Below are 27,596 nucleotides of genomic sequence, written 5' to 3'. Positions count from 1 at the left end.
GAGCAGACAAGGGCAGGTTGGAGCCTTCTTTGGTGGAGACAGAAAAGTTTTACCAGCTCAGAGAGTGAAAGACTCCCATTAAAGGCCTCAAAGATCATGTGGTTTTATCCCTTACTCAGTTACAGGCTGAGGAAGGCACCAAGGCCCAAAGAGGGGAGAGACATGCTTACATACATGGAGTACAAGGCAGAACTGAGACTCCTAATTCCAGGCCCTCCCCACAGCCCAGACCAATGAGAAAGCAGGAAGCTTAACTTCAGGAAAACGTGACTCATCTTGAACCAAAAGGAAGCTTGCCATTGTGTGAAATTCCATAAATCCCCAAGATGAGGTGCTTGGCAGGTTGACAGAAGAGCAAAGAGTTTGGGACTAACAGGAAAGGCCCAGAGGGCTTAGGGCAGGTGGCAGGAGTGAGCCAGCTGAATGGGCAGCCCTCCAGGGTAGGGTCAGGGGGCCAGGCCCATGGCTCCCAAGGATTCGATGTCTCAGAAACAGCAGCGTCAGGTAGCGGTTAAAAGGATGGGTTCTAGAGCCGCACAGACCTGCACTCCTATCCCATCCCACCAAAATTAGAACCCGGTGGCAACCTCTGGCAAGTTATTTAGCTTCTCTGAGTCTTAGACTCCTCCTGGTAAGTGGGGGCGGATGGTGGCATCTGCCTCATCAGGTCATTGTGATGGTGAAATGTGATAATACATGTTAGTGTCTAACCCAGTTCCCGGTGGTGATGGTGTCAGAGGAAACATGCAGAGTAGTGCAGCGAAGGGTTATGAAGTCACTTCTGGGGAACTGACCTTTGAGGACCTTTTGCCACGCCTGAAAGAGACTCCAAGTTTATCTTTGAAAACTGACCAAGAAGGGCATTCACTGGAGTCTTGCAGTCACGGACCTCAGAGTTCACCTGGTTCCAGCTACGCTCTCTATTCTCTGACCCAGAGCAGGAATCCTCTCCCCTTAGCAGCTTCCTGGTAAGTGTGACTCTCCCCAGGTCAGGCAGTGTTTTCTGTGGCCAGATAGCCAGTTAACTGAAACTCCCTCCCTGCATCTTCTACCTATGGGCCCAACTCTGTCCTCTGGCCACAAGGAATTGGATGCTTGGTGAGAGCTCCTTTGAGGTAGGAGGACACAGCCACATGCCCTCAAGTCAGCACTTCCTCGGGTGACTCCTCCCAGCTCCATCAGTCATGAAATGGCATATCAATAACAATAGCTACCATTTATTGATCAGTAGCACAAAAGTGTTATGTTAGGGGCTGCACCGTATTATCTTGGGTTCTCATGAAAATCTTGCAAAGTAGGTATCATTAGGGTATCTTTACAGATGAAGAAACTGAGGTTTCAGAAAAACTGAGCTAACAAATGGCAAAGCCAGGATATAAATCCAGGTCTGTAGGTTCCAGGGTCCATGCTCTCAGACCCACACAGTGAGCCAGTGCCTCCCCAGTCTGACCACTCCTCTCCTGGCCCTGGGAGATGCAGGTTTCCAGTTGTGTTCTGAGGAGAGTGTTGTGGGCTGTCACCTCCCTTGTCCCAGATACTATGCTACTGGAGCAGCCACACATCTTTATTAGTTCTCACTGAACTTGCAGCCTGTGAGCCCTTTCCTCCTTTCCTACCTAATTATTCAGATCAGACAAATGTGCATTGATTTCTGTGCATTCACTCAAATCACTAATGAGACAGAGACCTGAGGTCCACCAAGGAGGCCCTTCCTATAGGATATCATGAAGTTTTTATCTTTTCTCCCCTCCAGCACATTTGAGTTTTCTACCCACATAATCAGACCCCATTCTTTGAGGAAGGGGTGTCACTCTGTTCAACCACTGGGCCTGGGCAATGGGGAAGGTGACTGCCTTTCCCACTGTGTTGCACAGACAGCCTGGCCCAGTACTTGGGATTTCTAATTATTGCCTTGGGGAGAGGGTGCACACCAAGGCATTCACTAGGTGGGGCTGGGGGAGGGTGTCCTGCCTCCCATGTGGACTCTTGGTCCAGAGGGCTGGAATCTGCTTGTACCATAGTCTTCCAAGTCAGCTAAGCTGGAAGAGTCCAGTGTGATGGAGAGAGATGGTCCCTCATCCCTGAGGATGTTAGACACCAACTCTGCAAGGCTTAGAAGACACAGGTCAGATTCTAGTCTCAGTCACAGGGACTTTTCTTCTGGTTTCTAGATCCTGGTGATTATAGTTGAGGTTTCTGCAACCATGGGTCCCAGTACAGAGCTTATAACCCCTGATGGATCTTCATGTGAACCCTGACCTAGGCCAGTGGCCCCTGTGAAGCCTCTAACCTCTAGAGAATGGATCAGGGGAAGCCAAGGGTCTGCACAGAGTAGCAGGGCAGGGGCTCCATCTTTCACCTCAGAGTTCCAGTACCCGCACGGCCATGATCACTAGGTACTTGGTCAGTGACTGAATAAAACAGCATTGGGACAGTTCCTATAAAGCCAAGGCAGGGTACCCTCAAACTTCCCCTAAAATGTGACATGATCAGGATAATGAAACAGAATTAAGCGAGAGTGGACACATCTCAGGCATAGGAAGCAGCACTTCCTTTATCTGGTCCAGCTTCAATTCTGGAGTGGAGCAGAACCACTTCCCCGAGAGCAGCCATGGGAACTCTCCGAGGTGCTGAAAACCAGCCCCCAGATTCCTGTGGACATTGTCCCTCCCACGCCACTGCAAGTCAAACCCATCCTGATCCACAATGGGACTCTGGTTCCTGATCCAGATTTCTGTCTGTTAAAGGGACAAATGTGGCCCTTCAGCGTCTCCCTGTGGCGACCCTCCCTTCAGTGACTCCCTATAGTTGCATCACTGTGACTCCCACGATGATTCCCCAAACCTGTGCTGGCTAGACCCACAGTGAGCCCCCCTCAACCATGACCTTTATAATGACTTCTACATGGCTCTTCATGGAAAATCTAGCCCAGGGTGGCCAAATCCATTGGCCTAGCATTTATGGTACCTATGATCATCTCTGATCTGGCTCCTGGCCCTGAAGATTCACCTACAGTATAGGACATAAGTAAACCCAAGTACTGAAAGTGAAAAAACATCTCACTTTCCCAGATCCTATAAGCCGTTGCCGAGGGAAGTGGTGCCTTATCCTCACATCCCACCCCCACCTGAGCACACTCCCCAGCTCTTCCAGAAGGCATATAGTGCTTTCAATAAGGAATATGTCTTCTGTTACCCTCTAGCTCAATAATTCTGAAATACTGCTAGCCTCCAGATCTATCTTACTGGGGGGAGGTATGGAATGCTAGAGGCAGTTGTAGCTCTCCTCACATCTTCCCCTAAGGAAAGAACTATTTATATCTCAACATTAGTCCCTGATTTAAGTATCTGTGAACCCCTCCCAGACAGCCAGGCTTCTGTCTACCCAGAGGCCAAGGCCTCATTCAGAAATTCTGTGGCAGAGCTGTAGGAACTAACACCAAACCTGAGACTCCATAGATGTCAGCTTCCTCATGGCCATCTTCCCTGATTTTTTAGCCACTGGGGTCTTTGCCTTCTCCTTCTCTTTGGTCTTTTCCTGCTTCTCAAGTTCCTCTACATAGGCATCATAGATCTCCCACTAGGCAAGGGTGAGATAAGAAGGATCATTGTAAGGTGCAATCTTTACCCAGACAGCTCTTTTCAGCCTTCAAGACTTAAGGAATTGGTCATGTTAACCCTGGCAACAAGCATCTTCTACTTGGCCTGTTGGAATTAGGTATTCAATACCTGTCTTCCCTACTATCAGCTCTGGAACAAGAATGAAAGAGTTCTAAGGACATCTCTGGGCTGGGCTTACATACCCTGAAACCCAGAGGCTGGGTCTTCAGCTGAAGATCAACATTGTTCTAGCATGCAGCCCCCAGCAGGCAGAACAAATGGGCAAACATCAGGCTAGTTCCCATTTTTGTTGGTGATTTAAAAGACTCTGAACTAGAACATTTAAAAAAATAGGCCAGGCACAGTGGCTTACACCTGTAATGCCAGCACTTTGGGAGGCTGAGGCAGGTGGATTGTTTGAGCCCAGGAGTTCAAGACCAGCCTAGGCAACATGGCAAAAACTCCATCTCTACAAAAAATACAAAAATACGCCAGGTGTGGTGGCATGCCCCTGTAGTCCCAGCTACTCAGCAGGCTGAGGTGGGAGGATCGCTTGAGCCCAGGAGGCAGAAGTTGCAGTGAGCCAAGACCGTGCCACTGCACTCCAGCCTGGGTGACAGAGCAAGGCCTTGTCTCAAATATATATATATATATATATATATATATATATATATATATATCTTCATATCCCCACCCCCACCCCGGACATGGCATAAACATACTGGCTCGGGCTGGCTGTCTATGGCACTGACCACATCTCAGCATTAAAAGGAGATAAGCAAAAGGTAAGGGAACATTTGCTAAATGGATCTGACAGGAAGAGAAGCCCAAGGATAGTAGCAGAGGAAGCAGCAAGGATCTGGGGCTGGGCAAATGCCCCTCATCACACCGTGTGCTCCCTAGAGCTGGGAAGTCACTGCCACCTGGAGGTCAGATAAGCAAACCTTACATTTAATAACTCCCCCCCAGTCTCCTATTCCACATTGCAAAGTACTCTAATCTTTGTTATCTCATTCAGACCCTCCAACAACTCTGTGAGGCAGCTTGTCATCCTCTCTTTAGAGAGAAAGAAACTGAGGCATTAAAAGTGACATGGTTTGCTCAGGATCTTAAAGTATGAACAGAAAATGTGAGGTCTGAGATCAGGTCTCCTGGCACCATATCCTGTTCAAATAAGTGTGGCCATCCAGGAGGACTTGAAGGGGGAGGAGGGGGGCTGCAGGAACACTGAAGGCTGCTGGGAGGGCAGGGTCAGAGTGCTAACACTTTGGAGTCAGTCACAGAGTCACAGGGTGCCACAGGTTCCAGAGAGTCCATCGAAGCAAATGTTCTCCCCTGGTCATGGAAGAAGCTCCATCCAGAAGCCATGCCTGTTTCCAGCTTGCACAACCTTGCCCTTGAGTCACGTGGCTGGCCCACAGCTCACTGGATAGGGACCTACTGTCTCATGTGCCTGGTGTTCAGAGCCTGGATGCTCAGGACAGTGAGCAGGGAGGCAAGTAGATGAGGAGGGCAGACTGCCAGAGGAGCCCTTGACCCAGTGTTGCCTTTGCTGCTAAATGAGGAAAGGATACATAGAGGTGGGTGGTAAGAGGTTTCAGGCTGGCCCAGGGTCTTACCTGATTGGCTGTGGCTGAAAAGTTTGTCCTGGGAGGAGGCTCCGTCTGGCATTCTCGATCCTAAAGAACAAGACAACAGGAGACCCACAAAAAGCCCTCAACTCCTTCTCACTTAATCCAACAGTATATCTTTGAGAGAAGCATTTTGGCTGGGGCTGATGGAGGTTTGGGACACAGAGCTGGGGAAGTAAAGAGGGGCTTGGGTGAATAACTGAATGATGCATTCAAAGCCCATATTGTGTCCATTCTGGCCTCCTTCAGAAGAAGTATAAGCTAGAAAGCAGGGGCAGGGAAGCCTGACTGTGCCCATTTTAACCAAGATACAGTCTAAGTGGGGGATGAACAGACCTGCAGGATGCCAGGCCAGGGCATAGAGGTCAGCCTCTGTCAGGCCATCAGACTAACACCCCTTGCCCTGAGAAGGCCTCTCTAATATGAGGGTCTCTGGCTCCACCAGGGGAATGGGCCCCCTTCCCATTCTGTATCACCCAGATTACCAAATGTTAGCATAGGGACCACACAGGGTGATGAGGCACTGTCAAAAACTCACCCTGTAGACCTCGCCCTCCATCTGTAGATTCATTTCTGTAGAACCCTCCCCTTACGTGTGAGTCTCTCACCTGAAACGCTGAGAGGCTCCCTCAGCCTGGTTCTCAAGAGCCTCTGAGTCAGGGAACTTTCTGGCCTTTGCCAGCTGGTCTATCACAGAGATCATCAACTTCAGTTGAACTGGCTCCTAGGCCTCCTGTTCCCTGAACACACTGTGGCCTCCCCTCCCCTCCCAAGTCCTAATTTCTACCCCTCTACAAAGCTCAGATCCAGCTGAAGCCTTCCAGTGGAGTTTTGGGAGCTCTAGCCTCCATGTTACTCCCTCTAAACTCCTGCCTGGATAGCTTACAGAGACCTGAACACATGCTCTCAGCTCTCCTTGGGGAGATAAGCTGTAGCATCTGTTGTCCTGTCACCCCTGCCAGGCTGAGGTCTGCTAGGGCCAGGGTCAGGCCTGCTTCTTCCCTGCCAGGCACAGTGAAGAGCTGCAAAGGGGCTAGGGTGGGGGCTGCTCTACCCGGACAGGGTTGTTGTAGGTCTGTGAGGCCCTCTCACTGAAGTTGAACTGGTTAGTGAGCTTTCTCTCCTTGGGCTGCTTAGGAGTCATCAATTCTTCTTCAGTCACTTTTTCAGCTGCCTGAAAATAAAGACCCAGAGGATCAGGAATCAGCTGTGAGAAGGTGGTAGAAAACCGGGAGATGGGGCAAGCCCTGTCCTAGGATAGGACAGAGGTAGGAGAGAGTGATGCTGCCAGACACATTGGCACCTGCAGCCTCTATTCTCACCTTAGGTCTCCCTCCTCCTTTCCCAAGTTACCCATGAAGCCTCCATCCACAGCTTGAGCTGGAAGAAGAGGGACACAGAGCGATATTATACTGTACCCCAGCTGCAGGCACATCTGTTTGACTCCCAGGCTCAGTTTCTAACTCCTTGGGCTCTTCGTCTTCTTCGAGGTTTCCTGTTTCTGAAATCACCTTGACAGACTCCTGAGAACCTTGGTAGGATACTGCCAATGAGTTCAAAGTCTAAGCCTGCTCTCCCAATCTGTGGCAGGGAGGGCTTTCTTGGTTTCTGCCTGGGGTTTTCCTTGGCCTGAGTGTCATGGGTTAGCTCCCTGACCTATTCAGGACAACCAGCTATTGGGCTTTTTTTTTTGAGACAGAGTCTCACTGTGTCGCCAGGCTGGAATGCAGTGGTGGCACAATCTCGGCTCACTGCAACCTCTGCCTCCCAGGTTCAAGTAATTCTCCTGCCTCAGCCTCCCGAGTAGCTGGGACTACAGGTAAGTGCCACCACGCCCGGCTAATTTTTTGTATTTTTAGTAGAAACGGGGTTTCACTGTATTAGCCAGGATGGTCTCGATCTCCTGACCTCATGATCCGCCCGCCTCAGCCTCCCAAAGTGCTGGGATTATAGGCAAGAACCACCCTGCCCGGCCTGGAGTTTATGTTAGCAGAAGCTCTGAAAAGTTCTGGCTTAGAGGTATACTCCCTAGAGTGACCAGAATAAGGGGAACAGGCTCAGGGCTGTAGCTTCAGGATGGCCCAGAGTCCTACCTGCCACTAATTCATCGCGGTAATGCTGCCGCCGTCCTTCATCTGAGTCTTTGGGGATCAGGTTCCCAACCTGGGTGTAGTGAACTGCCAGTTGGTTCACAAAGCCAATAGGCTTATATGTGCCTTCCTAAGAAGAGAGGGGCTGAGTCAGACCAGGGATCCCTAAAAGAGCTGGAGTCAAAATGTAATCTGCTTTCATTCTCTAAGATCAAAGACAGTCCATCTTTGTTAAAGGAAATGTAACTCACCAAATCCTCAGTTAATCTGAAGTTTTCACTGCATTTCAGTTTAAAGAAGAAAAGGAAGAGAAGACAAATGAAATAAAATCTTTTTTAAAGTTATCATCAAGGATTTATTTTAAAATACCTTGCCTTTCCAACCTCAAGTGGCTCCAGATTTGCCTATCACTGGCTTATATGTCTTGTCTCCTACTTCCATGCCAAGGGTTTCAAGTTCACTTGCCATACCACATACCCTGGGCAGATAGAGTCATCAAACACACCTGGCATAACCCTCTCTCCACTGTACTTAGTGGATTCTAAAGCTGGATAGATCTTCAGAGACAACCCCAATCCCCTAGTTCCATACAAGAGGACCATGGAATTCCAGAAAAGATATGGGTTGGCATTTGTCCGGGTCACACAGCAAATGAGAAGCAGGATTAGGCTTACAGCCCAGGTCATTTTGTTCATCCATTCTTGAAATAATTTTTGAACAGCCTCAATGTGCCAAGTATTTTCCAGGTGCCTGGGATATAAAGCTGAGAAAAAGTAGACACAATCCCTTATTTCACAGAGCTTGTAGTCTGGTTCCTGCAGATAGCCTCCTCATTGATCAGCACCCTTGCAACCACTAAAATTGACTTAGAGACCGGAGATCTCTTCCTTCTTTTAAAACAGATATGCAAACCCTTTTCAAGCCATATAGAAACTATGTTTGTATGGCACACTACGGTAAACTCACAGTAGAGGAAACCAGTTCATGGGGTCCAGTTGCACAGATCTCCCTGCCCCTGGAGGGCTGGAAGGATCGCCATCACACAGGTTGGGAAGCTCTGTATTTAAAAGTCACCACAGAGCCCTTCTTCTTTCAGTAACTCAGATGTATGGGAAGACAAGTCAGTGCAGTGGTTAAGAGCATGGTCTTTGGAGGCAGGCAGAGTTGGGTTTGAATCTTTATTCTGCTGCTTCTTATCTTCATGACTTTGGGCTTAACCACTCTAAGCCCTAAGTTCTTCATCTATAAAAGAAGGCTAATACTATCTAATTTGCATGATAATTATAAGTATTAAAAATAATAAAAACAACCTATTAACACAGTGTCTGACACATAATAAATGCTCAATATTAATGTTCAATAAAATAGTAACTATTTTCATGATGAAGATTCCCAAGGAATAAATTACCCTTACAGTTTCATTTGAGATTTCACCTTCATCTTGTCCCCAGTAGTTGACTGGGATCTTCCTCTTCAGTTTAGGAATGAAACCCAGACTCCATTGCTTCTGTGAGGGGAGGGAAGGCATGCCTAGATCAGAACCATCTACCTCTCTACTCCACCACATCAAAGGAAAGTAGCAGCTTTGGGGACCTAAAGCTCTTTCAGGACCAATGAGATGGAAACTAGTTCTGTGGGAAGATGCCACCAGTCACGGGAGGCTATTGGGAGGTTGGGTAAGGTGAGCTTTCCCAGAAGACTTGGGCTCCTAAATGAGGGGCAAGAAGAGTACGTTGAAATTGACAAGGCAATGCCAGTCCTCTGCCTGTAGTGTGCTTCCCATGGTCAGCACACTGAGTCCTACAGAGGTCCTCTTTCAGATGTCAGAAGAACAGGAGCCCATAGAGTGTACTGTGCTCCAGCAAAACATCAGGGAGGATAAGGCAGCTTCCCTCTGACCTTTTCGGGCTTCCCAAGGGAAGCCATTCGCAAAACTCACAAGTAGCACCTTTCAAGAAATGTTTCTGGGGCCAGGCGCAGTGGCTCATGCCTGTAATCCCAGCACTTTTGGAGGCTGAGGCGGGCAGATCATGAGGTCAGGAGATTGAGACCATCCTGGCTAACATGGTGAAACCCAGTCTCCACTAAAAATACAAAAAATTAGCCGGGTGTGGTGGCGGGCGCCTGTAGTCCCAGCTACTCGGGAGGCTGAGGCAGGAGAATGGCATGAACCCGGGAGGCGGAGCTTGCAGTGAGGCGAGATTGTGCCACCACTGCACTCCAGCCTGGGCGACAGAGCGAGGCGCAGTCTCAAAAAAAAAAAAAGAAACATTTCTGGATTTGTTTCAGCCTCTTTGTGTAGTGGTTGACTACACAATCTTAAATAAGAAGCAGTGTGTTCAACTAATCTTTCACAAACACTCGCACACAAATGTTCATAGCAGCATTAGTCATAATAGCCAAAAAGCAGAAACAATTCAAATGAACATCAACTGATGAATGGATAAATAGAATGTAGTATATTCATACAAGTGAATATTATTTGGCAATAAAAAGAAATGAAGTAGTGACACATACTACAACATGAATTGAAAACATCATGCTAAGTGAGACGAGCCAGTCACAAAAGACCACATGGTGTATAATTCCACTTATATGAAACGTCCAGAATAGGCAAATCTATAGAAACAGAAAATAGTTCAGTGGTTGCTGAGGGCTGGAAGGGATGGAAGACTGAGGGGGAACAGCTAAGTGGCTTGGGGTTTCCTTGCGGGGAAGTGAAAATGTTCTAAAATTGTGGTGGTCATTGTACAACCCATAAATGTACTAAAAGCCACTGAATTGTACACTTTAAGTGGGTGAATTGTATAGTATATGAATTAAATCTCAATAAAATTTTCAAAAAAACAAAAAAATAAATTCTTCTTGTCTTCAGGAAAGAGGACGGGGAGAGAGGGAGGTTTCATTTTGACTGTGTTTTCATTTTTTTTGAATCTTTTGAAATTTGTACCATAGGTTTCTATTATATTTTCAAAATATTATACACATATATATTTTAAATTTTTTTTAAAGAAGCAATGTAATGTTGCTTTGGAGTCAGACAAACTAGTTGAAATCTTGCTTTGAATTCTGGTCATGTAACTTTTGTAATTTGTTTATCTAATTTAATCTAAGTTTTCATAAAATTAGAATATTAATAGTCCCTGTACCAAAGAAAGGGGAGGATTATATGAGATATTTTATGTAAAAAACCTAATATAGGACCTGACACTGGCACACAGTAAGCATGGAACAAATGGGTCTCAGAATAACGAAATAGGAAACATATGCACCCCTTCCACTGCAGCTCAAATGTACTCGGAAATTCTCTTCAGTTCATAACCACAGGAGCTGACCTTGCTATGAGTGAAAAGAGTATTGTCCCCTATATAGGCATATCAATATGTGTCTATCAGGTCAGAACTTACCCACCCACGCCATGTGTACTAAAGGAGGGCCCTGAGGAGGTCACCGGCCTGTCTGGCGGTGATGTCAAGAAACGCTGAGACTGGAGCCTGCTAGAACTTCTCCAGTGGGGCTGGGGGTGGGGAGGGGAGAAGACCAGCTCCTTTTGTCTAGAGGGAAATTGTACTCCATCCAGATGGCTGGCTAGAGGAAAACTCAGCTTTTGAAGACTCAATAGTTTATGTTAGTGAAAAATGTGTTACATATATCAGAAAAGCATTTTTCTAACCAAATGATTCATTTCAAGATTCTTGAAAAGACTGGCTCTGCAGGACACTTAAGACCACAATCAGCAAGACTGCAAGGGAGATTCATAAAGAAATTTCAAAAACTTCTAGAAAACTCCATATGAAATCTGAGGATTCTAGCCAAGGACCTCAGTTTAAAAGTGCTCTCCTCTAGAATTACTGAGAGGCTTTTGCAATGTAGCAAGTCACTGTCACTCCAAGGAGATGGGTATAGATGCCCCTGCCCAGGAGGGGATGACTTACTTTGAAGCTGTACCTGACAATGTTCTGGGGTGCGTGTGGGTTGTTGGCTGTCAAAATCCGAGTGAACTCCTCCTTTAACTCCTGAGGGAGAAAAATACCAAGAGGGTCATACATGAAGACCCCCCAACCCTATCTGAGGCTTAGAAGGATCCCTCAGAGTATCAGCAGACATCTCACACCCAGGTTCTGGGCAAGCTCCTAATCATGTACTATGGAAGAACACATCTCCGAAACTGGAAGAGGTACAAGGAGCAAGAACAAGAGGCTACTCACTCACCGCATCGGTCAACTCCAGCTGGTCAGGGGGTCTAACTGTGGCTTTGGATTGGGCCCATTCATCTGTGCCTTCTCCCACTTCAGTCCCTGAATCTTCATCCTAGACAAAAACCTCACATGAGGCTTGGGAGTGTCTTTTCTGCTTGGACAAGCATACAGAAAGCCCCTTCATTCACAAACACTCCCAGAAGCCAAGCTCTGCCCCTTGTATGTAGAATACAAAATGTATAACATACCACTCATGAAAGAGTCCAAAAGAACTGCTCAGGCCAGAGTTCTCATTGCCTGGAAGATCCTGGCCACCTCTGCCCTGGGGGTCAGGCTTAGCTGGAACTTGGAATGTTGTGGTAGGCCTCTGGCCCCAGTAGTGGGACCAGAAGAACTGGTTCCTCCCTACTGCCTTCTGTAAAGCCCAGAAGCTAATGTTTAGGACTAACAGCCAAAGGCAGGGCTTTATGCAAAGTGGTTTAGACATCAAGAAAGGATAATAAGCTGTTACTTCAACTCTAATTTATATTTTATCTTCCCAACTACCACCTTAAGGTTACTCAATACTCTCTGTACTTAGTTATTTTAAGCCTCACAGTCCCATTAGGTCCTTGGAGCAAAAAAATCAAGGACTAGAAGGTTTGCCTTTCCCTGGTAGACACTTAAACATGTTGCCAAAGTGGCCCATGATATATTTTTTTAAATGTTCACTCTCACTAACAATCAAAATTATACAAAATAAAACAATGCATTTTTTCACTATAAAATTGGCAAACTATAAAACAACCAAAACGAATATCCAGCATTCATGGGGCTGTAGGGAAATGAGCACTCACAAATTAGTATAACCTTTCTAAAAATCAATTGGAAAATATTTATCAAAGCCTAATAACTGTTTATACTCTTTTACCCAAATTTGTACATGTAGGAATTTATATTAAGGAATATGCCCAAAGATTTAGGTGTACTGATGTTAGAGGATTTATAATAACAGTGAAAAAGAAAACATTTATTTTTATTTATTTTTATTTATTTATTTGAGATGGAGTCTTTCTCTGTCACCCAAGCTGGAGTGCAGCGGCACGATCTCGGCTCACTATAACCTCCACCTTCTGGGTTCAAGCAATTCTCTTGCCTCGGCCTCCCAAATAGTTGGGACTACAGGCATGCACCACCATGCCTAGCAAATCTTTGTATTTTAGTAGAGATGGGGTTTCGCCATGTTGGCCAGGCTGGTCTCGAACTCCTGACCTCAAGTGATCCACCTGCCTCGGCCTCCCAAAGTGCTAGGATTACAGGAGTGAGCCACCACACCCAGCCAAAAAAGGAAGCATTTAAATGTCCACCAATGAGGCATGGTTGAACAAATTATGGTACAGTCTTAAGGAACATATGGTAAAATATTATGTAGTAATTTCAAATGATGCTATAAAAATATATTTATTAGCAATGGAAGGCACTCTAAATATTTTATGTGAAAAACATGTTATAAAATAACATATATAGTTTGGTTCCACTTAAAAATAAATATATCTCTCTTATTCCTCCAAAGAAAAATAATAAATACATGTAATTTTATATATGCATAAAAATATCTGAGAGGATGTAACATCACATGTTAACTAAAGTTATTATAAGGTGGTAGGTTTAAGGGTGATTTTAACATTCTTCTTTTAGTTCATTTGCATTTTCTAAAAACACATAAATAATATTTTCAACAAAAAAAACACTATTAGCATCTTGCTGAGAGACCATGGTAGTCTCAGCACTTACTCTCTTCCTGGTTCCTCTGCCTATGCTGATGCTCTAAATGAAGAACAGAAAACAGAAGGTAAGTCATAAGCAAATTGACATGGAAATATCATAAACAGTATTTCAGGGAGGCTCCTGCCCAGGGATCTCACAGTCAAAGTGAGAGGTGACAGCGTGCTGGCAGTCCTCAGAGCCCTCGCTTGCTCTCGGCACCTCCCCTGCCTGGGCTCCCACTTTGTGGCATTTGAGGAGCCCTTCAGCCCCCCACTGCACTGTGGGAGCCCCTTTCTGGGCTGGCCAAGGCCGGAGCCCACTCCCTCAGCTTGCAGGGAGGTGTGGAAGGAGAGGCGTGGAGGGAGAGGCACCAGCGGGAACCGGGGCTGAGTGCGGTGCTTGCGGGCCAGCTGGAGTTCCGGGTGGGCGTGGGCTTGGTGGGCCCCGCACTCGGAGCAGCCAGCCAGCCCTGCTGGCCCCGGGCAATGGGGGACTTAGCACCCGGGCCAGTGGCTGCGGAGGGTGTACTGAGTCCCCCAGCAGTGCTGGCCCACCAGCACTGCGCTCGATTTCTCGCCGGGCCTTAGCTGCCTTCCCACGGGGCAGGGCTCGGGACCTGCAGCCCGCCATGCCTGAGCCTCCCACCCACTCCATGGGCTCTTGTGCGGCCCCAGCCTCCCCGACGAGCACCATCCTCTGCTCCACGGCGCCCAGTCCCATCGACCACCCAAGGGCTGAGGAATGCGAGCGCAAGGCGCAGGACTGGCAGGCAGCTTCACCTGCAGCCCCGGTGGGGGATCCACTAGGTGAAGCCAGGTGGGCTCCTAAGTCTGGTGGGGACGTGGAGAGTCTTTATATCTAGCTCAGGGATTGTAAATACACCAATCAGCACCCTGTGTTTAGCTCAAGGTTTGTGAGTGCACCAATCAACACTCTGTATCTAGCTGCTCTGGTGAGGACTTGGAGAGTCTTTATGTCTAGCTCAAGGATTGTAAATACACCAATCAGCACTCTGTATCTAGCTCAAGGTTTGTAAACACACCAATCAGCACCCTGTGTTTAGCTCAAGGTTTGTGAGTGCACCAATCAACACTCTGTATCTAGCTGCTCTGGTGAGGACGTGCAGAGTCTTTATATCTAGCTCAGGGATTGTAAATACACCAATCAGCACCCTGTGTTTAGCTCAAGGTTTGTGAGTGCACCAATCGACACTCTGTATCTAGCTGCTCTGGTGAGGACTTGGAGAGTCTTTATGTCTAGCTCAAGGATTGTAAATACACCAATCAGCACTCTGTATCTAGCTCAAGGTTTGTAAACACACCAATCAGCACCCTGTGTTTAGCTCAAGGTTTGTGAATGCACCAATCGACACTCTGTATCTAGCTGCTCTGGTGGGGACTTGGAGAACCTGTGTGTGGAAACTCTGTATCTAACTAATCTGATGGGGAGGTGGAGAACCTTTGTATCTTGCTCAGGGATTGTAACCGCACCAATCAGCGCCCTGACAAAACAGGCCACTCGGCTCTACCAATCAGCAGGATGTGGGTGGGGCCAGATAAGAATAAAAGCAGGCTGCCCGAGCCAGCATTGGCAACCTGCTCGGGTCCCCTTCCACACTGTGGAATCTTTGTTCTTTTGCTCTTTGCAATAAATCTTGCTACTGCTCACTCTTTGGGTCCACGCTGCTTTTATGAGCTGTAACACTCACTGTGAAGATCTGCAGCTTCACTCCTGAGCCCAGCAAGACCACGAGCCCACCAGGAGGAACGAACAACTCCAGACGCGCTATCTTAAGAGCTGTAACACTCACCGTGAAGGTCTGCAGCTTCACTCCTGAGCCAGCGAAACCACGAACCCACCAGAAGGAAGAAACTCGGAACACATCTGAACATCAGAAGGGACAGACTCCAGACGCACCACCTTAAGAGCTATAACACTCACCGCGAGGGTCCGCGGCTTCATTCTTGAAGTCAGTGAGACCAAGAACCCACCAATTCCAGACACAAAAGGAGGTTGAGCCTTCCCAAGTTTCAGAAACAGTCTCAGAGGCAACATATTCTTTTGCGCCCAGCCAGACAGGTCCTATATCTGAGGCAACCCAGTTTCAGCATCAGTGGGACTGACCCATGAAGATCACGACCAAGTAACTTAGCACTGGGAATTTATTTGCAACTGGTTCAACAAATATTTTTAAAGCATACTCTAAGTGTTCATCTCTGTACCAGGCAATAAAGAGATTTAAAAAAACATTATTATTACTATTTTGAGACAGAGTTTCACTCTTTCGCCCAGGCTGGAGTGCAGTGGCACAATCTCGGGTCACTGCAACCTCTGCCTTCTGGTTTCAAGCGATTCTCCTGCCTCAACCTCCCGAGTAGCCTCCCGGTTACAGGCGTCTGCCACCACGCCCGGCTAATTTTTGTATTTTTAGTAGAGATGAGGTTTCACTAGGTTGGCCAGGCTGGTATTGAACTCCTGACCTCAGTTGATCCGCCTGCCTTGGCTTCCCAAAGTGCTGGGATTACAGGCGTAAGCCACCACGCCCAGCCTATTTATTTATTTTTGAGATAGTCTTACTCTGTTGCCTAGGCTGGAGTGCAGTGGCACCATCTCAGCTCACTGCAACCTCCACCTCCCAGGTTCAAGCAATTCTCCTGCCTCAGCCTCCCAAGAAGCTGGGATTACAGGCGTGAGCCACTGCACCCAGCCTATTTTTTGTATTTTTTAGTAGAGACAGGGTTTCACCATGTTGGCCAGGCTGGTCTCAAACTCCTGACCTCAGGTGATCCACCCGCTTCAGCCTCCCAATGTGCTGGGATTATAGATGTGAGCCACTGCACCCGGCCAAAGGTGACGATTTCTTAACTGGATGTCAAAGGACAAGTATGCATTGTCTAGGTGGAGAAAATGTTTTTCAGAAGAAAACATCATGTACAAAGTTGGCCAGGCGCGGTGGCTCATGCCTGTAATCCCAGGCTGAGGTGGGCAGCTCACCTGAGGTCACAAGTTGGAGACCAGCCTGGTCAACATGGCGAAACCCTGTCTCTACTAAAAATACAAAAATTAGCCGGGTGTGGTGGCACACACCTGTAATCTCAGCTATTCAAGCGGCTGAGGCAAGAAAATCGCTTGAACCCAGGAGGCAGGGGTTGCAGTGAGCCAAGATCGCACACTGGACTCCAGCCTGGGTGACACAGCGAGACTCCATCTCAAAAAAAAAAAAAAAAAAAAAAAAGTTCCACCAAACAAACCAACAAAAATCCCACAGTATATATACAGAACAAATAGGTGTTTCAGATGATCAAGCATATGAGGGGACTGGAGACGTGAGGGAGGGGCTCCTGGAAGGAGCAGGCCTAGTGCACTGCAGGAGGGTTCAATGCAGCAGAAGAGCTGAAGGGCACACGTTGGTGGCAGCATGGCACATTGGAAAGGAACCCCTGCTTCCAGCTCTGTCACTGACCACTTGTGTGATCTTGGGGCAGCCTCAGTTTCCCAAATGCAAAGAGAGGGGAGTCAGTTTCCCAAATGCAAAGAGAGGGAGTTAGACTAGATGGGCACTTATAGCTCTTGCAGCTCTTGCATGATAGGGTCTTTGGGAGAGGGTTGGAGGGTGGAAGGGAGGAAAGGAATTCCAGGGAAAGAGAAAAGCATGTCTCATCTTGGGCTGGGATTGTTGCTGATAGAGCAGGCAGCAGGATTCAAATAGCTGTCAGGTTGCCAAGGTTTCCAATGATGGGAACCCTTCTCTGAGGCTAAGCCACACGAGCCAGAGAGCTACTTTCCTTTGGAGAGCCTCTGATCCATAAGGTAATGGGATGGAAGCGTCCCAACGTGTAACAACTTTCAGGCTCACAATAGAGCACAGGAGGGCCAATCCCAACCCAAACCACAAGCCTTAAATAGAAAACGAGATCCAGTTACCGCTGCCCCCTGTAAATATGTCTGTAAAACATTTATCTGGCAATAAAAGAACTGACAAGGCAATTTGAGTGTAATTGTTTTTGGCAGTTGGAAATATTTCAATTAACACACTATAAAAGCCACACTATAATAAATGCAAAACAGGCCAATGAAATCAGCTACAGCCCTAACTTCCCAACCATGGCAAAGGAGATAGAATGTCAGGCTGCCACTTTGGGCCCTTGGTCTTGCAGAATGAGAAGCCTGAGACAGACAAGCCTGAATTCCTGAAAGGCCTTTGATGGTTCCTCCTAGAAGCTATCAAGCTACAGAAGAAAGCTCAAACTCTTCCCCTAGCCCTCAAAATTCTATCATCTGGCCCCAAGCCTCCATTCCAACCGTTCTACCACTCATGTGCTAGGACTCCGAGGTGCAGTCCAGCGAGTCCCTGGGCCTGGCCTGTGTTTTCCCACCTCTCCACCTTTGCTGTTACCACTCCTCTGCCAGGAATGCCATCTTCCCCTTTCCTCTCCCTGCTTCCACTATCTCTGCCTAACAAAACCCTACCCAACTAGCCTCTGCTAGTCCTTTATCTAACTTTTCCTTTCCCACCTTTCTCCTACCTCCCTCTACTCTTCCTTTCCTCACTTTAAGCAAGGCTACCCTCCACCTTCCATCACAAGTACTGAATGATCAAACGTAAATAGACACTCTGTTAGTCTCTGGGTCTGGTCTACAGAAGGGAATAGTGTTATGAAAAGAAGCATCACACTGCAGTACACATAGGAGGCAGCTTGGCGTTCTTATGCTATTGACCAAAGAAGGTCCTCTTCTCTTGGATAGGCCATTCTATTTGGCCAAGGGAAGATGTCTATGAAAGAGTGAAGCAGGGAGAGGAAACCCTCCCAGCCCACCGTGGCAGACAATTTAGCCCTGCGGATCAATGGGATAACAGATGTCTCAGCCTGAACTCTTTCACAGCAGAGCATTTTTCCATTCTTGTTGTGGACTTCAGTGTGAGCACTGTGAGAGCAGGAACTGAGTCTTATTCGTCTTTGGATCACTAGCACAGAGGCTAGCATTTGGATGGAGGTCACTGCTCTTATAAAAGTCACCAGTCACAACTCAGCTGCCTAGTGGTCACTTCTCAGTTCTCTTATAGGACTTGACATTGCTGAGGGCTCCCTCCCTCCTTCTTGAAACTTCTCTACCTTCTTTTCCATGTCACTGATCTCTCCAATGGCTCCTCAATATCCTTGACCTCTCCAGGGATATATGCTTGACCCTCTGGTCTTCCTATTGTACACCCTCCCCTTGAATGCTCTTATCCCCACCTGTAGCTTCATCTTTCATCTTCCACCTTATGATAAAGCTCAAATCTACTTTTATTATTTGTTTTCCCTGAGACAAGTTCTCGTGGCCAGGCACTGTGGCTCACGCCTGTAATACCAGCACTTGGGGAGGCTGAGAAAGGCGGATCACTTGAGGCTAGGAGTTCGAGACCAGCCTGGGCAACATCGTGAAACCCTATCTCTACTAAAAATACAAAAATTAGCCGGGTATGGTGGTGCACGCCTGTAACGTCAGCTATTCAGGTGGCTGAGGCAGGAGAATCACTTGAACCCGGGAGGCAGAGGTCACAGTGAGCTGAGACTAAAAAAAAAAAAAAAAAAAAAAAAAGAGAGAGAGAGAGAGAGAGACAGGGTCTTGGTCTCCCCAGATCTATTTCTGCAGCTTAGACTTCCCAGAACCTCATATTCGAATTGATGACAGAGTACTCAAACTCAATATCTTTAAAACTGACCTCATTATGTTCTTTTTTCACCCTAAACTGCCACTTCCTCCAGGATTCCCCCTCTCACTCAAGTGTACCACTATCCATTTAGTCACCCAGGTTGGAAACTGGGAACCATTAAAGATATTTGCCCTTTCTTCACCCTCTCACTAGCATTATGTTTCAAAGCCTAACAATTCTATTTCTTTAATATCTTTCTTAATAATCCTCTCCTTATTTCAGGCCCTTACTATCTTTTGCCTAACCACATTTGATCTCCCTGACTCCAGTTTCTCTCTACTCTAATGATTATATCATTATAATTACTGCTACTGAGAACTTACTCTGGGCCGGTCATTTACTAAGCTATTTATGCACATTATTTCATTTAATCTTCACAACCACCATATGGAGTATGAACTATCATTATTCCTACTTTACAAATGAGAAAACTGAGGTATAGAGACATCAAGCAACTGACCCAAAGTTGACCAGGATTTGAACCCAAACTCTTAATCACTATCTACAAATGATCTTCCTAAAACATAAATATGATTGTGTCATTCTCTTGATTTAAAGCCTCCAAGAGTTCAAGACCAGCCTGGGCAACGAAGCCACACCCCATCTCCACATAAAAATTTTTTTTAATTAGTTGGGTGTGGTGGTGTGTGCCTGTAGTCCCAGCTACTTGGGAGGCTGAGGTAAGAGGATTGCTTGACCTCAGGAATTCAAGGCTGCAGTGCGCTATGATTGTGCCACTACACTCCAATCTGGGCAAAATAGCGAGACCCTGTCTCAAAATAAAATAAAATAATAAAATAAAGCCTCCAAGAGCCCACCCTCCGCCATGAGATGAAGCCCAAGCCCCTGAACATGGCATCTACCTCATCTCCTACTTTTCCCCTCCTACAGCCACATTCAGTCACGTACAATTCTCCCTAAGCTTATGTAGGAAAGAGCCATGTAAGCAGAGGGACTGAGCCTGTGTGCCCAGTGGTTAGATATGCCCCAAGCCTCACACAGGTGATAGTGGCTGATTTAGAAGGGAGCTGCCCAAATAAAATGCCTCCTCTCTTTCCTTAGGTTCACAGGATTTCTTCCATGGACCATCTAACTTCACTGCTCTATGCCGAGCATCCTTCTCCCTTCCCTCAATACTACCAACCATGATGTCTGGCCACCCTTCTGTCAGGCTAGCCTCTGCATGGGTCCCCTTACCTCATTCAAGATGCCACCTCTCTGGGCCTTTAACCCCCTTGTTCTTCTAGCACAGCTCTGGATCACCTCCTTGGCTTAGCACACTTTTGGATGATCTTTAAGTTAACACCCCTCCTAACTTGGCCCAGCCCTAAGGACTGTCTTTTTCCATAAGCAGCTTCCAGTGCAGCCCCACTCGGTCTGTCCTGGAACACTTGAGGAAGCCAAAGGGCAGAGAGGAAGTCCCAAAGAAGTCTGGAAAGCCGTGGAGAGGAGCTGAGAGAGAATGAGGTGGTTGGAAAGAGGCATTCTCATGTACAGCAGTGACACACCAAGGGCAGATGTTTGAAGTCTATCAACCTAGTACTATCTGCAGCGGGGTTAGGGGAGGGGAGAGAGGCAGAGACCAGTTGATTACCATCACCATCCCTAACTGTAATCTAGTGAGCACTCACTAATAGCTAGGCACCTTGCTGGGCATTGTACGGTCATTATTCCCAATCTTCACAGCCTTCCTGCAAAGTAGGTAAAACTGTTCCCCTTTTAAAGACAAGGACACTGAGAATTGTTCAGATCAAATGACATGGTCAATGGAAGGATACATTGAAAACAAAAATTCTGTCAATGTAAGAGATAATTATTATTACCACCTACTGGTCATTTACCTGCATTTAGACCTGTTTTGGTTCATGACCCCACTGAACAATGTAAGCGATCTATTTGTCCCTGAGCGTATTTTAGTGATAAATAAGGAGATAAAAAATTCTTAAGCTGTTCTCTACCATAAATATATAATATTTTAAAAATGAGTATGTGATCAGATGGAGCCATGGAACCCAAGTGTGGGCTTTGAAGTCAACCATAGCTGGGTTTGAGTCCCCACTCTGCTACCTGCTAATAGTTTTATGACCCCAGGCAAGTTAATTGTCTTCTTTGAACCTCAGTATCCTCATTTTAAAAATTGGCATTATAATGGCACCCTCAGACAATCAGAGGCTTGTTATGAGGATTAAATGAGTCAACAACACACATAAGGTGCATAGTGTGGTGCACTTTATGTGCAACTGGCCAGAGTGTGTGCCCAATAAATGATGCCTGACAGCATTACCTTCCCACTTATAGACCCTGCTCTGCTGTCAGTCACATGGGATCTGTGTGGCCCTTTGCCTTCTAGGAAGCACCTGCCTTAGGGATGACTAGATTTCAGCAGCTCACATCTCTGCTCAAGAGTTCAATGCTGAAACATGATTGTTCCTGGAAAGAGGGGCTCTTCAAAGCATGCAAACCCACAGATGCTGCATCCTCCTTCCTGGGGCCCAGGAGACTTCGTTTACCATCTCAGTTGTCTTGGTCCTTATTTTAAAACTCACTAACAGGTTTCCATTAAGCTAAATTGAAACTAAATACCTCACCAGCTTGCCGTTTCCGTTTCTAAAAGGTTAAAAGCTCTTAGTCCCAAAGGAACAGCAGCAATTCACCAACAAATCTTCCTCCAGCTACACTGAATACATTTTAAATCTCTGAGCCTAGTGCAGTGTCTAAAGCACACAGAAGGCACTCAATAAGTGTTTATAGTTGAAGAAAATATTAAAACTTTGAATAGTGGTCTATGCAGGGTAACAGGCACACATACATTGTTGTGGTAGTGCCAACTGATGCAAACTTTTTGTACCAAAGTTTGTAATGTGTACCAAAGTTTAAAATGCATATACCCCTCAACTCAATGGCTCCACTTTCTTGAGTTTTCTGATAGAAATATTCACACCTTGCCGGACACGGTGGCTCACACCTGTAATCCCAACACTTTGGGAGGCCGAGGCGGGCAGATCACAAGGTCAGAAGTTCGAGACCAGCCTGACCAACATGGTGAAACCCTGTCTCTACTAAAAATACAAAAATTAGCCGGACATGGTGGCACATGCTCGTAATCCCAGCTACTCAGGAGGCTGAGGCAGGAGAATCACTTGAACCCGGGAGGCGGAGGTTGCAGTGAGCCGAGATTGCACCACTGTACTCCAGCCTGGGTGACAGAGGGAGACTCTGTCTCAAAAAAAAAAAAAAAAAAAGGAAAAAAAAAAAAGAAATAGTCACAACTCAGGCTGGGTGCAGTGGCTCATGCCTGTACTCCCAGCATTTTGGGAGGCCAAGGCAGGAGGAGCACTTGAGTCCAGGGGTTCAAGACCAGCCTGGGCAACATAGTGAGACTTCATCTCTACAAAAAAATAAACAAAATTAGCCAGGCGTGGTGTTGCATGCCTGTAGTCCCAGCTACTCAGAAGGGTGAGGTGGGAGGATCCCTTGAGCCCGGGAGGTAGAGGCTGCAGTAAGCTGAGACTGAGCCACTGCATTCCAGCCTGGGTGACAGAGCAAATCCCTGTCTCAAAAAAAGAAAAGAAAAAAAAAAGAAATAGTCACACCTGAATAAGATGTATATACAAAATTGCTTGCTTCAGCTTTATTTGTGATTTTTTAAAATGGAAAAACACAAATATTCGCCAATAGGAGTCTAGGTAAATAAATAACAAAATAATTATAGCAATTCAATGGGATGTTATGCATATTTTTAAAAGAATAACTATCGTACAATAGTAAATAACAATGTATTGGACCAGGTGTGGTGGTTTATGCCTGTAGTCCCAGTACTTTGGGAGACCTAGGCAGGAGGAATGCTTGAGTCCAGGAGTTCGAGACCAACCTGGGTGACATAGCAAGATACCCTGTCCCTACAAAAATTTTTAAAAATTAGCCAGGTGTAGTGGGGTGTACCAATAGTCTCAGCTACTTGGGAGGCTGAGGTGGGAGGATCACTTGAGCCCAGAAGGTCAAGGCTGCAGTGAGCTGTGATCACGCACTGCACTCCAGCCTGGGCACCAGAGCTAAACCCTGTCTCAAACCAACCAACCAACTAACCCACCCACGCACCAACCAACCAACCAACCAACCAATATATTGTATTCTTGAAAATTGCTAATAGGTTTTAAGTGTTCTCACCCCAAAAAATTATAAATATGCTAGGTAATGCATACGTTAATTAGCTTGATTGGCTGGGCATGGTGGCTCACACCTGTAATCCCGGCACTTTGGGAGGCCAAGGCGGGTGGATCACCTGAAGTCAGGAGCTCGAAATCAGCCTGGCCAACAGGGCGAAACCCTGTCTCTACTAAAAATACAAAAATTAGCCAGGCTGGTGGCAAGTACCTGTAATCCCAGCCACTCGGGAGGCTGAGGCAGGATAATTGCTTGAACCTAGGAGGCGGAGGTTGCAGTGAGCTGACATCGTGCCACTGCACTGCAGCCTGGGTGACAGAGCAAGACTCTGTCTCAAAATAATAATAATAATAATAATAATAATAATAATAAGCTTGATTTAGCCATTCCACAATGTATACATATTTCAAAATATGTTTTACATGATAAATATACAATTTTGTCAATTAAAAATAGTATATTGTTGAAAAAATAAAGTAGAAAGAATGAAGTAAACTTTTATGTATTGCTATGGAAAGCTCTCCAAGGCATATTGTCAAATAAAAAGGCAAGTTACAGGAATAGATGCCCCATCTGTTTACTTTAAGAATATGTGTATATGTGTATTTGCATATACATACAAAATTTCTGGAAGAATATATAGAATCTGTTGACAGTGGTTTTTGTGCATGCAGTGTGACTACAGAATTGTGGGGAAGGGGACTAATACTGTTATATACTCATCGTCATAATTTTTTTTTTTTTTTAGTCAGGGTCTTACTCCATCGCCAAGCTAGAGTGCAGCAACACAATCACGGCTCACTGCAGCTGTGACCTCCTGGGCTCAAGGGATCCTCCTGCTTCACCCTCCCAAGTAGCTAGGAATACAGGCATGTACCAACAGGCCTAGTTAATTTTTAAATCTTTTGTAGTGGCAGTGTCTCACTATGTTGCCCAGGCTGGTCTCAAACTTCTGGCCTCAAGTGATCCTTCTGCCTCAGCCTCCCAAAATGCTGGGATTAGAGACGTGAACCACTGCACCCAGCCTAATGTATTAAATGTGAATATGCATTACTTTTATAATTTCAAATGCTAATTAAGAATGTAAAAATCAACATGATAAATTTTTCTTTCCTATGAATGCAGTGTTAGCACAGTGCTCAGAATGCTGGAAAAGAGAATACAAGACCAGCCCCATTCCTCCCTGGAAACACAGGAGGGCAGAAGCCAATTATATAGGACCCTTCCCAGATAAGGCTGCAGAAGGCCAGAAAGTATCGGATTTAAAAGCTGGAGCTCTAGAGTAAGCCTTTGCTGGATACCTGCCTCTGCTACGAATTATATGTAAGACGTTGAGCAAGGCGTTTAGTCCCTAAACTTCATTTCTGCATCTGTAAGGGGGAGAAAAATATTAGTGCCCTCCTCATAGAATTGCTGTGAGTATAAAATAAAATAATGTATGAAGAGCACTAACACAGAGCCCAGCATAAAGTAAGCCCTCAAGTACTAGTGGCAATGTAGACATTTTGGCTGTCATTATTTTTATTATTCCATGCAGTCTGCCATGCAAGGCAATTGAGTTCCATTCTGAGGGCTTAGAATGAATAATTGAATAGTATGTTTTCCAGATCCCAAGAAATCTTATTAGAAAGGAGCCTGTGCATCTCAGGGTGTCACAGCAGAAGGATGACAATAAAAATACTTCCATTTATATAGCATCTTTCAGTTTACTAGACATTTTGGAGTACATTATCTTATTTGATCATTATAACAATCTTTTGTGGATGGATGTTTAATCTTGTCAATGTTTTTGTTTCTGAATCTATTGAGATGTCATCATTATAGGATTTTTTCTTCTTTATCCTGTTAATATGAAGAAATACTTTGATTTTTTTTTTTAATGGAGTCTCACACTGTAGCCCAGGCTGGAGTGCAATGGCTTGATCTTAGCTCACTCCAACCTCCGCCTCCTGGATTCAAGCAATTCTCCTTCCTCAACCTCCTGACTAGCTGGGGTTATAGGTGCCCACCACCACGCCTGGCTAATTTTTTGTATTTTTTAGTAGAGACAGTGTTTCACTAAGTTGGCCAGGCTGATCTCGAACTCCTGACCTCATGATCCGCCCACCTCGGCCTCCCAAAGTGCTGGGATTACAGGCTTGAGCCACTGTGCCTGGATGATCTTAAACTTTCCTTTTCTTTTCTTTTTTTTTTTTTTTGTGGTGGTGGTTGGGGACCAGGAGAGACAGGGTCTCACTCTGTTGCCCAGGCCAGAGTGCAGTGGCACAATCATGGCTCACTGCAGCCTTTACTTCATGGGCTTAAGCGACCCTCCCACCTCAGCCTCTCAAGTAGCTGGGACTACAGTCAAATGCCACCACACCCAGCTAATTTTTTTTTTTGGTAGAGAAGGGGTCTCACTATGTTGCCTAGTCTGGTCTCGAACTCTTGGGCTCAAGTGATCCATCCACCTCAGCCTCCCAAAGTGCTGGGATTACAGGCATGAGCCACCACACTTAGCCTTTCTTTTCTAATACAGCGTTTAAAACTATACCTTTCTATTAAGCACAATTCTAGCAGCACCTCACAATTTTTATGTTTTATTTTCATTACAATTAAAAATATTTTCTAATTTCCTTATGATTTTCTTGACCTATAGGTTATTCAGAAGTATTCTTTAATTTCTAAATACCCAGAGATTTTGAAGATATTATTTACTTCTATTTTGTTCAAACTACTCTTAATATGCTGAGATTCTTTTTTGGCAAGGATGGATGTTGAATTTGAATTAAGTTAAACTGTAAGATATTAACCTTTTGAAATGCATTTGAACTTATTTTATGTCCCAGTATATGGCTCATCCTTGTGAAAATTCTGCAGTTCTTGGGCGTAGTTTTCATTCTACTGTTCTTGAGTATAGTGTTCTATAAATGTTAATTAGGTCAAGTTGGTTAACAGCACTGTTCAGATCTACTGAGAGAATAATGTTAAAATATCAAATTATCATTATGAATATTTCTACTTCTCCCTTTAGTTCTGTCATTTTTTGATGCTTACATCTTGAAGTTCTTTTGATTCTTATATCTTGAGGCATACACTTTGTGATTTTATGTATCCCTCTTGAATTGACCCTTTGTCATTTTAAAATGTCCCCATTTATCTCTGGGAATACTTCCTGTCTTGAAGACTACTTTGTCTGATAATGATACTCATACAGATTTCTTATGCTTTCCATTTGCTTAGTTTATTTTTCCATTCTTTTATTTTCAAACATTCTATGTTTTTACATTTAAAATATATTTCTTGTAACAGGCAACATATAGTTGTTTTTTTCTTTTTCCTAGCCTGATAAACTCTGCCTCTTAATTGGAGGTCTTTACCATGTTGCTCTTTGTTTTCTAGTTTTTCTCATCTGCTTTTGTTTCTCTGTTCATCTTCTGCCTTCTTTTGTATTAACTGAAATTTTTTAGTACTCCATTTTGCTTTCTCTATTGGCTTTTCATATGTGCCTTTTTGTATTTTGTGCATGTGTGGTTGCTCTAAGGGTTACAATATGCATCCTGAACTTATCATAGTCTACTAAAAATAAATATTGTATCACTTCACACTTCACAATGTAATAATCTCATAACATGCTAATTCTATTTACCACCACTACTTCATCCTTTCCCCTATTGTTGTCACATATTTTATTTCTGTATACAGTGTAAGCCCTACTTGACAATAATGGTTTTGTTTTGTTTTTTGCTTTAAACAGTCATCTGTCTTTTAAGAAAATTAATAGAAGGGCTGGGCGCAGTGGCTCACGCCTGTAATCTCAGCACTCTGGGAGGCCGAGACAGTAGGATCACTTGAGGCCTGGAGTTTGCCATCAACCTGGCCAACATAGTGAAACGCTGTCTCTACTGAAAATACAAAAAAAATTAGCCACCATGGTGGTGAGCATCTGCAATCCCAGCTACTCAGGAGGCTGAGACAAGAGAATTGCTTGAACCTGGGAGACACAGGTTGCAGAGAGCTGAGATCACACCATTACACTCCAGCCTGGTCGACAGAGTAAGACTCTGTCTCAAACAACCAAAAACAACAACAAAAAGAAAATTAATAGAAAGAAAAAAAGTGCTGTAGTCCCAGCACTTTGGGAGGCTGAGGCAGGAGGATCACTTGATCCCAAGAATTCAAGACCAGCCTAGGCAACATAGTGAGACCCTGTCTCTATATATTAAAAAAAAAATTAGCTGGGCTTAGTGGTGCATGCCTGTGGTCCCAGCTACTTGGCAGGCTGAGGCAGGAGGATCACTTGAGCCCAGGAGGTCAAGTCTCCAGTGAGCTGTGAGCATGCCATTGCACTCCAGCCTGGGTGACAGAGTGGGACCTTGTCTCAAAAAAAAAAAAAAAAAAAAAAAGCCATTCCATTGTCTTCTGGCCTACATTGTTTATGGTGAGAAGTCAACCACAATTCATATAATTGTTTCCCTGTATGCAATTTG

The 27,596-nt window shown here is 45.4% G+C and overlaps 1 protein-coding gene and 1 pseudogene across 2 annotated transcripts in view, besides 4 other annotated features; both read right to left on the bottom strand.

The window, feature by feature from the left end:
* The window catches only part of DNAI1 (dynein axonemal intermediate chain 1), a 62,180-nt gene that overhangs the window by 24,212 nt on the left and 10,372 nt on the right, over window positions 1-27,596 (bottom strand). Inside the window, exons 2-9 of one of the 2 annotated variants that reach the window (NM_001281428.2) lie at window positions 13,293-13,325; window positions 11,533-11,631; window positions 11,256-11,336; window positions 7,324-7,450; window positions 6,649-6,773; window positions 6,285-6,404; window positions 5,219-5,278; window positions 3,445-3,579 (exon numbers count right to left, since the gene is read on the bottom strand). In NM_001281428.2, coding sequence (NP_001268357.1) covers window positions 3,445-3,579; window positions 5,219-5,278; window positions 6,285-6,404; window positions 6,649-6,773; window positions 7,324-7,450; window positions 11,256-11,336; window positions 11,533-11,631; window positions 13,293-13,325 — 780 coding nt within the window. The remainder of the gene's footprint in view (window positions 1-3,444; window positions 3,580-5,218; window positions 5,279-6,284; window positions 6,405-6,648; window positions 6,774-7,323; window positions 7,451-11,255; window positions 11,337-11,532; window positions 11,632-13,292; window positions 13,326-27,596) is intronic. The other variant, NM_012144.4, reaches the window with a different exon arrangement.
* Window positions 2,488-2,782: a silencer, noted in NCBI's record as "tiled region #15183; HepG2 Repressive non-DNase unmatched - State 10:DNaseD, and K562 Repressive DNase unmatched - State 9:DNaseU". NCBI's record gives its function as "represses a minimal TATA promoter and a strong SV40 promoter by Sharpr-MPRA in HepG2 and K562 cells {active_cell/tissue: HepG2 | K562}" and the evidence as "EXISTENCE:reporter gene assay evidence [ECO:0000049][PMID:27701403]".
* Window positions 2,488-2,822: a biological region, named in NCBI's record as "Sharpr-MPRA regulatory regions 5304 and 15183".
* Window positions 2,528-2,822: a silencer, noted in NCBI's record as "tiled region #5304; HepG2 Repressive non-DNase unmatched - State 10:DNaseD, and K562 Repressive DNase matched - State 9:DNaseU". NCBI's record gives its function as "represses a minimal TATA promoter and a strong SV40 promoter by Sharpr-MPRA in HepG2 and K562 cells {active_cell/tissue: HepG2 | K562}" and the evidence as "EXISTENCE:reporter gene assay evidence [ECO:0000049][PMID:27701403]".
* Window positions 13,830-14,332: an enhancer, noted in NCBI's record as "H3K4me1 hESC enhancer chr9:34482439-34482941 (GRCh37/hg19 assembly coordinates)". NCBI's record gives its function as "activates a minimal SCP1, AML or CMV promoter by ChIP-STARR-seq in naive H9 embryonic stem cells {active_cell/tissue: H9 hESC(naive)}" and the evidence as "EXISTENCE:reporter gene assay evidence [ECO:0000049][PMID:30033119]".
* On the bottom strand, window positions 17,868-18,151 carry RN7SKP24 (RN7SK pseudogene 24; annotated as a pseudogene).

This window comes from Homo sapiens, chromosome 9, assembly GCF_000001405.40.
Source record: "Homo sapiens chromosome 9, GRCh38.p14 Primary Assembly".
Taxonomy (NCBI): domain Eukaryota; kingdom Metazoa; phylum Chordata; class Mammalia; order Primates; family Hominidae; genus Homo; species Homo sapiens.
This window is presented reverse-complemented; position numbering and strand designations above follow the sequence as displayed.